At 38.4% G+C, this 9,996-nt stretch overlaps 1 annotated feature.

Annotated features, from left to right (window-relative positions):
* Positions 9,470-9,764: a silencer, noted in NCBI's record as "tiled region #9212; HepG2 Repressive non-DNase unmatched - State 24:Quies". NCBI's record gives its function as "represses a minimal TATA promoter and a strong SV40 promoter by Sharpr-MPRA in HepG2 cells {active_cell/tissue: HepG2}" and the evidence as "EXISTENCE:reporter gene assay evidence [ECO:0000049][PMID:27701403]".

The following is a 9,996-nucleotide window of genomic DNA, read 5'->3' as shown; positions in this document are numbered from 1 at the left end:
ACACTGAAATATTTTTAAAGTCACAAGTCATTAATAGTCATAATTTTCAAGCCTGATATTTTATTTTGCACCCTACCCACTCGTTATTCCTCTCTTCTTTCAACGTAATGGGAGTACACTGAGAAAAGCAGACTTGGATAGAACTCACACTTGCAATTTGTGTCATAACTAAGGGTTAATGGATCATTCATGCGGAAAACATTTCTGAGTCTTATCTTTCTGTGCTTAGAGACTAGAAGCAGTTGACTTTTCCAACCCAAAAAGCTCCACATTTTTGGATTATCTCTTCTTTAAGTTTTAATTGCAAACAAGCCAATTCCAGCCTGAGCTCACCTCTTGGTTCTATAATTTGCTAGATGTAATCAGAGAACACCAAAACATACCATCATCATTCTATCTTTGAACCCCTTCACAGAGGAATTGGTCTCGGTAGGCATGGGAGGTAACATACTCGCCAAATGTTTTATCTTTGCTTAACAGGGTCCTCCACTTTTCTAGCCTCACTGCCCACAACTCACCTGGGAAGCCAATGCCGGATACGTTAGGTTTGTTGTTGCTTGGCGGCATTTCACTTCTGGAATCAATCTGTATTAGCTAAGGTAATGCTCGGTATTATAGGAGATAATTCCCCAAATCGCAGGGGCTTAACAAAATAAAAATTTATTACTCTCAGATGCAAGAATTCAATGCAGGTGTAGAGTGGGCAGCATTCCAAGGTGGGTGATTGAAAGATTCAGGTCCTTTACATTTTATAGCTCCACTATCACTCAGAGCCTTGGGATCTACTCAGAGGGCGGACAAGGCACACCTGCTCCTTAATCACTTCAGCCTTTTCTGATACCCTTTGTAGAGCTGCTTAAACGGCCCCACCTGGGTGCAGATACCCTTTGTAGAGCTGCTTAAACGGCCCCACCTGGGTGCAGATACCCTTTGTAGAGCTGCTTAAACGGCCCCACCTGGGTGCAAGGCTGGGCTCCAGTGCTGGGAAATGTAAATTCTGCCTGGAAACCCACTTTCCAGCAACAGCGCTACCCTTTGGAAAGGTAAGTATTTATCTCTGGTGGAGAGCTAGCTATTTCTGCCATACCCCTCTCATATTTTTAAGTTTAAATATAATATATATAAGTTTAAATTCATGACAAAGTAATTACTTTCGTATATTTTCAATATTGGCTTTAAAAATGTCCAATGGGTGATAAATACTATAACCATTTTATGAACCACTTTAAAATTCGAGAACATGGTCCTTCTCAAGAGTCAGAAATTTTGTATTGTTTTGTTTTATCATTTAAATCATAATTGCTTCCTCTACAGAATTTTATTCTAAATATTTCTCTGTGAATTTTAAGATTATAGCTCTCTGCAACAAGTATACACACTACACACACACACATTGAATTTTGAATTTTGTTTTTCATAAGGTCTAAGTGGATCTGACAGTTAAAATAATTAATATAAAATTGATCAAAATAATAATGATATTAACATTTTTTAAATTGTTTAAATTTTAATAGCTTTAGGGGTACAAGTGGGTTTTGGTTATGTGGATGAATTGTATAGTGGTGAAGTCTAAGATTTTAGTGTATCTGTCACCCAAGTAGTGCACATTGTACCCAATAGGTAGTTTTTCACACTAAATGCCCTTCCCATCCTGCCCTCTTTCTGAATCTCCAATGTCAATTATATCATTCTGCATGCCTTTGTATACCCACAGCTTAGCTCCCACTTATAAGTGAGAACATGCTGTATCTGGTTTTCAATTCCTGAGTTACTTGACTTAGAATAAGGCCTCTAATTCCATTCAAGTTGCTGCGAAAGACATTACTTCATTCTTTTTAATGACTGAGTAGTATTCCATGGGAGATATTATATATATAATATATATGTGTGTATATATATATATATATAGTGGATAATATAATATATATTAGATTCCATATCTTCTCAATTGTGAATTGTGCTGTGATAAACATATGCATGCAGGTGTCTTCTTGATATAGTGACTTCTTTTCCTTTGGGTAAATACCCAAGTAGTAGGATTTCTGGATTGAATGGTAGTTTTATTTTTAGTTATTTAAGAAATCTCCATACTGTTTTCCATAGAGGTTGTATTAATTTATATTCCCACCAGCAGTGTATAAGCATTCCATTTTCTTATGGAAATATATTGTTTTTTTTGACTTTTTCTTAATGACCACTCTGGCTGAGGTAAGGTGGTATCTAATTGTAGTTTTAATTTGCATTTCCTTGGATGACTAGTGATGCTGAGCATTTTTTTCATGTTTGTGGACATTTGTATATCTTCTGTTGAAAAATGTCTATTCGTGGCCTTTGCCCACTTTTTTACAGGATTATTTGTTTTTTTCTGGCTGATTTGTTTGAGTCCCTTGTATATTCTGGATATTAGTCCTTTGTCAGATGCATAACTTGCAGATATTTTCTCCCATTCTGTAGGTCATCTGCTTATGCTGATCATTTCTTCTTGCTATGCAGAAGTTTTTTAGTTTACTTACACCCCATGTATTTATTTTTGTGTTTGTTGCATTTGTTTTTGGGGTCTTAATCATAAATTCTTTGCCCAGGCCAATGTCCAGAGGCGTTTCTTCTAGATTTTCTTGTAGAATTTTTTGTTTGTTTGTTTCAGATGTTAAATATAGGTGTTTAATCCATCCTGAGTTACTTTTTGTATATGGTGAAAGATAGGGATCCGATTTCATTCTTCTACATGTGGCTATTCTATTTTCCCAGCACCATTTGTTTAATAGGGCATCCTTTCCCCAATTTATGTTTCTGTACACTGTGCCAAAGTTCAGTTGGCTGTAAGTTTTTGTCTTTATTTCTGGATTCTCTATTCTGTTCCATTGATCTTTTACCAGTACCATGCTGTTTTGCTCACTATAGCCTTGTATAATCTGAAGTTGGGTAATGTGATGCCTCCAGATTTATTCTTTTTGCTTAGGATTGCTTTGGCTATTTGGCTCTTTTTGGTTTCATATGAATTTTAGGATTTTTTTTTCTAATTCTGTGAAAACTGATCTTGGTAGGAATTGCACTGAATCTGTACATTGTTTTGGGCAGTATGGTCATCTTCACAATGTTGGTTCTTCTAATGCACGAGCATGGTGTATATTTCTGTTTGTTTGTGCCATCTATGATTTCTTTCAGCACAGTTCTGTAGTTCTCCTTGTAGAAATCTTTCACCTCCTTGGTTAAGTATATTTCTAGGTATTTTATTTTTTGTAGTTATTTTAAAAGGGATTGAGTTCTTCATTTGATTCTTAGCTTTGTCATTGTTGATGTATTGCAGTGCTATTGATTAGTGTATATTGATTTTGGAAACTGAGACTTTACTGAGTTCATTTATACGATCTAGGAGTCTTGAAGGAGTGTTTAGGGATTTCTAGGTGTGAAATCATATCACTTTCAAACAGAGATAATTTGATTTCCTCTTTTCCAATTTGGATGCCCTTTACTTATTTCTCTTGTCTGATTGCTCTGGCTAGGACTTCCAGTACTATGTTAATAGAAGTGGTGACAGTGGGCATCCTTGTCTTGTTCTTGCTTTTAAGGGAAATGCTTTCAACTTTTCCCTATTCAGTATGATGTTGCCCGTGGGTTTGTCATATATGACTTTTATTATTTTGAGGTATGTTCCTTCTGTGCCTAGATTGTTGAAGGTTTTTATCACAAGGGGATGCTGGATTTTATTGAATGACTTTTCTGCATCTGTTGAGATGATCATATGGTTTTTGTTTTTAATTCTGTTTATGTGATGAATCACATTTTTTAAGACAGGGTCTCACTCTGTTGCCCAGGCTGGAGTGCAGTGGCATGATCACAGCTCACTGCAGCCTCAACCTCATGGGCTCAAGATCCTCCTGCCTCAGCTTCCAAGGTAGCTAGGACCAGAGGTGCACACCACCATACCCAGCTAGTTTAGTAGTAGTAGTAGTAAGAGTAATAGTAGTAGTAGTAGTAGTAGTAGTAGTAGTAGTAGTGACAAGGTCTTGCTATGTTGCCCAGTCTGGTCTCAAACTCAGATTCCCAGAGTGGTGGGATTACAGGTGTGCACCACTGCACCCAGCTGAATCACATTTATTGACTTGCATATGTTGAACTATCCCTGTAACCATGGAATGAAATCCACCTGATGGTGGAGAATTATTTTTGTTTTGATATGCTATTGGATTTGATTTGCAGGTGTTTTGTTAAGGATTTTTGCATCTATATTCATCAGGGAAATTAGCCTGGAGTTTCGTTCCTTTATTATGGCCTTTCTTGGGTTTTGTTATCATGGTGAAACTGGCTTTGTAGAATGAGTTAGGGAGGATTCCTTCTTAATCTTTTGGAATCGTTTCAGTGAAATTAGTACCAATTCTTCTTTGAATGTCTGGTAAAATTTTGTTGTGAATCTGTCTGGCTGTCGGCTTTTTGTTGTTGTTGGCAATTTATTTTATTCCTGATTCAATCTTATTGCTTGTGATTGGTCTGTTCAGGATTTCTATTTCTTCCTGATTCAAGCTAAGAGGGTTGTATGATTCTAGGAATTTATTCATTTTCTCTAGATTTTCTGTTTTGTGTGCATTTAGGTGTTCATTGTAGTTTCGAATGATCTTGTATTTCTGTGGTGTCAGTTGAAATGTCTCCATTTTCACTTCTAATTGAGCTTATTTGACCCTTTCCTCTTCTTTTCTTGGTTAATCTAGCCAGTGGTCTATCAATTTTATCTTTTCAAAGAACCAGCTTTTTGTTTCATTTATCTTTTGTATATGTTTTATTTCAATTTCATTTAGCTCTGCTCTAATCTTTGTTATTTCTTTTCTTTTATTTTATTTATTTATTTATTTACTTATTTATTTATTTATTTATTTACTCTGTCAGGGTCTTGCTCTGTGAGCCAGATTGGAGTGCAGTGGTGCAATCTCAGCTTACTGCAGCCTCCATCAACCTCCAAGGCTCAAGCGATCCTCCCACCTCAGCCCCAGCAAGTAGCAGGGACTTCAGGCACACACCGCCATGCCCAAATAATTTTTGTATTTTTAGTAGAGATGAGGTTTCCCCATGTTGCCCAGGCTGGTGTCAAACTGCTGAGCTGAAGTCATCCGCCCACCTTGCCCTCCCAAAGTGCTGGGATTACAGACGTGAGCCACCACCCCTGACCCCAAGTTATTCATTTTCTTCTACTAGATTTGGCTTCGGTATGTTCTTATTTTTCTAGTTCTTCTAGCTAGGATGTTAGGTTGTCAATTTGTGACTTTTAATAATTTTTGATGTAGGCGTTTAGCACTGTAAACTTTCCTCTTACTGCTTTTGCTGTATTCTGGAGGTTTTGATAACTTATGTCACTCTTATCATTCATTTCAAAAGAATTTTAAATTTCCATCTTGATTTCATTGTTAAGCCAAAAATCATTCAGGAGTTGATTGTTTAATTTCCATGTATATTTGTAGTTTTAAGGGTTCCTTTTGGAATTCGTTTCTAGTTTTATTCCTCTATGGTCTGAGAAGATACTTGATAGGATTTTTTTTTCTTTTTCTTTTTTTTTTTTTTTTTTGAGATGGAGTCTTACCCTGTCGCCCAGGCTGGAGTGGTGCAATGGCGTGATCTTGGCTCACTGCAACCTCCGCCTCCCGGGCTCAGGTGATTCTCTTGCCTCAGCCTCCTGAGTAGCTGGGATTATAGGCACCCACCACCATGCCCAGCTAATTTTTAGTAGAGACAGAGTCTCGCCGTGTTGGCCAGGCTGGTCTGGAACTCCTGACCTCATGATCCGCCCACCTCGGCCTTCCAAAGTGCTGGGATTACAGGCGTGAGTCACCGTGCCTGGCCTATGATTTTTATTTCTTAAAATTTATTGAGACTTGTTTTGTGACCTATCATATGGTCTATCTTGGAGAATGTTCTGTGTGCTAATGAGAAGAATGTATATTCCGTAGTTCTTAGGTAGAGTGTTCTGTAAATGTCTGCTAGGTCCATTTGTTCTAGAGTATAGTTTAAGTCCAGTGTTTCTTTTTTGACTTTCAGCCTTGATGATCTGTCTAGTGCTGTCAGTTGAGTGTTAAAGTCCCCCACTATTGTGTTGCTGTATATCCTTTCTTAGGTCTAGTAATTGCTTTATGAATCTGGGAGCTCTAGCATTAGATACACATATATTTAGGATTGTTATATCTTCTTGTTGAATTGATCCTTTCATCAATTTATAATGCCCTTCTTTCTCTTTTTTTACTGTTGTTGCATTAAAGTCTGTTTTATCTGATATAATAATAGCTGCTCCCACTCACTTTTGGTCTCCATTTGCATGAAATACTTTTATCCACATCTTTATCTTGAGTCTATAAGAATCCTTATATGTTAGCTGTGTCTCCTGAAGATAGCAGATATTTGGTCTTTGATTTTTTTAAGTCGATTCTGCCAATCTACCTTTTAAATGTATCATTTAGGGCATTTGCATTTGACATTAATATTGAGATGTGAAATATTCTTCCAGCCATGTGTTGATTTTGTAATTGTGTTATTGTTTTATAAGCCCCGTGAATGTTATGCTTTCAGGAGTTTCCATTCTGGTGTATATACACCTTTTGGTTCAAGATTTGGAACCCCTTTTAGCATTTATTGTAGAATTGGTTTATCGTTGACAAATTCACTCAGCATTTGCTTGTTTAAGAAAGACTTTATTTCTCCTTTATTTATTCAACTTAGTATTGCTAGATACAGAATTCTCGACTGACAGTTTTTTTCTGTTTAAGGAGACTGAAGTCAGGACCCCAGTCCCTAATGGCTTATAAGGTTTCTGCTGAGAAGTCTGCTGTTGGTCTGATAAGTTTTCCTTTATATGTTACTTGATATTTGGTCTCACTACTCTTAAAATTCTTTCCTCCATATTGATTGGATAACCTGGTGACTATATGCCTTGGTGATGCCCTTTTTGAATCCATTCTACCAATCTGTATCTTTTAAGTTGATCATTTAGACTATTTGCATTTGACATTAATATTGAGCTTCTGGGCTAGGCACAGTGAATCAGCCCTATAATCCCAGCACTTTGGGAGGCCAAGGTGGGAGGATTACTTGAGGTCAAGAGTTCGAGACCAGCCTGGCCAACATGGTGAAACCCTGTCTCTACTAAAAATACAAAAATTTGCCATGTGGTGGTGGGCACCCATAATCCCAGCTACTCGGAAGGCTGAGGCAGAAGAATCACTTGAACCCGGGAGGCAGAGGTTGCAGTGAGATCATGCCACTGCACTCCAGTCTGGGTGACAGAGCAAGACTCTGTCTCAAAAAAAAAAACAAAAAATTGCTTCTCATATTTGGATGTCTAGATTTCTAGCAAGGCCAGAGAAATTTTCCTCAATCATTCCCTCAAATAAGTTTTCCAAATTTTAACTTTTTCTTCAGCCTCAGGAGCACCTATATTTCTTAGGTTTTGCCAATTTATATAATCCCATATTTTTTGGAGACTTTGATTATTGCTTTTAATTCTTTTCTCCTTTATATTTATCTGATTGGGTTAATTCAAAAGCCTTGTCTTTAGGCTCTGAAATTCTTTCTTCTAGTTGGTCTATTCTATCGTTAGGACTTTCCACTGCATTTTGTAGTTTCCTAAATGTGTCTTTCATTTCCAGAAGTTCTGATTGGATTTTCTTTAAAATAGGTATCTGTTTAGAAAATTTTTCATTTATATCCCGATTTTCTAAAATTTTTTATGTTGGCTTTTAAAATTTAAGTTGGTTTTAATTTCTTTATGTTGATTTAATTTCTTTATGTTTGTTTCTCTTGTATCTCCTTGAACAACTTAATAATTAACCTTTTTAATTCTTTGTCATGTATTTCAAATATTTCATTTTGATTTGGATCTACTGCTGGAGAGTTAGTGTGATCTTTTGGGGGTGTTATAGAACTGTATTTATTTATATTGCCAGAATTATTTTCTTGGTTCCTTCTTATTTGGGTAAACTATTTATTATTATTCTTGAATTTATTTTTTTATTAGACTGGTTTTTTATATCTCTTGTTTCCCCTTGAGGATGTGACTTTAATGTTTATAGTTTATTGTCACCTAGCTTCAGCTCTAAGTGCTTTCAGTGGTGAAGACTCTGTATGAGTTCCTTGGTTATGGAGAATCTTTGCGTGATGGCTTTCTTCGATGCTGGCTGCAATAATGACGTACTGGGTGTGTGAGCAGGTTCGTTGTCCCCTGTTGGGCTGGAATGACAGGGGTCTTATGAAGCTTATCTCATTCCCCAGAGATGTGCACTGAAATTTTTTTTTCCCTAGTATTTTTTATTCACTGGATTGAACAATTCAGGCTTCTGGCCAGTTTGAGGTGCCCACAGGTCAAAACCAGCTATGGCTAAAGCAGGCGGATAAATACAAACCCCAGTATCGGCAGAGATCCCAGCCTTTACAGCAGTGGCTGGGGAAGTTATCAGTGAGATGCACTGAGGTCTTTTCAAGGGTAGATAGGGAGCTGCCACAGCTCTGCTTCCAGGCCAGCAGAAAAGTGATCCACCTTCCCATCACACCCCTAACTCAGTGTTCCAGCTGTTCACATCAGACAGGCACCTCTTTTCATCTGCAGGAAGGCTCATGCTCCATGTAGAGAGGGGTTGTGACTCTACATTTCAAACAAGCCTCGATGGCACTCTTCCTTTGAGAATATTCCTTTAAGAATCCTCCAGAAATGTTCAGGAATGGTCCTGAAATGTTCCAGAAAGGGTGTCTACAGATCTACCCATGCCATGCTCCCGTAGGAGTTGCCCCAGCTGTGTCTATAATGGTAGATGAGAGGGAGAAGAGGTCCCCTTCTCCATCTCCACGACGCTTCATGAGTACAAGGGCTGCCTGACTGTTGGGTTAAGAGCCACAGACTTTCCTCACTAAGCCCAGAACTGTACCTGTGCCTCTGCTGAAAGAAACTTCCCACAAGTGGAAAGTTCAGGGACTCAAGGCCTGTGGTCTTGTTTCTTTTGTCCCATGGGGTGTTCCTTAATGTGGTGCACTCCCCCTCCCTCTAAGAGTAGGAGTCTCTGAGAACGAGACTACTGTGAATGCTGCTGTTCTACTGGGTCTAGCCACCCAGTGGGGCTGCCACACTTCAGGCTGGTACTAGGAAGTGTCTGCAAGAGATTCAGTGATGTGACATGTCCTCTAGTCTCACAGCAGCGGGCACCAGCACCAGCTCTGATGGAGGTAGGAGGGCAGTGACGTAGACTCTGAGATTTCCTTAGTTATAAATAGCCTTAGTGTGTTGGCTTTTTCAAATGTCAGCAGTAGTAGTAATGTACAGGGCATGTGGACAGACTCAAGACCTACTGGTTAGCGAGGGTGATGCAGGCAATGGTGAAGGCCGAGGTCACACAAAAGTTTTCTTTCTCCAGGGCTCTGTGTGATTGTTCCTGCAGATGTTGTAAAAGACTGGAGGCAGTTGGCTTCCAGCCACGACGTGGCACATGCAAAACAGCACCAGTGGCGGTAGCTGTGAAATTTGTGCTTGCCTTATGTTACCGAAAGGAGGTATTCCAGTGCCTTGGGCAATGGGTGAGGCCATGGAGAGCCCAAAGGACCCTGTCCATGGTGCTACACTACCAGGGTGTGTGGAGGGGCAAAGCCAGGTGGGGGCTGGGTCAGGCAAGTCCATGCTCTGGTTTCCCAGGAGCAGGCACAGGCAGTTTCCTGGCCACTGGGGTAATATTCCAGGGAGAAGCATAGCTATAATATTAACATTGTTATGAAAAATTATTTTAAATTAGAAATTAAAATGTATCAGAAATGCATTCTTACCAATATGAATGGAGCTTTTCCCTCAAATAATACAGTCAAGGATAAATATTATTTATTGATAAAATAAGGATCAGGATCAATTCTAGTCTCATTATAGCAATAAGTTTTAAGAAAAATTGTTCACATAAGTAAGCCGATGAAAATGAAAGTTTTGTTGTAATAGTACTACTCAGTTCTTTGAGCTCCCTCTAAATTATATTGCAAAAACACATA

This window comes from Homo sapiens, chromosome 4 (assembly GCF_000001405.40).
Source record: "Homo sapiens chromosome 4, GRCh38.p14 Primary Assembly".
Classification (NCBI taxonomy): Eukaryota; Metazoa; Chordata; class Mammalia; order Primates; family Hominidae; genus Homo; species Homo sapiens.
This window is presented reverse-complemented; position numbering and strand designations above follow the sequence as displayed.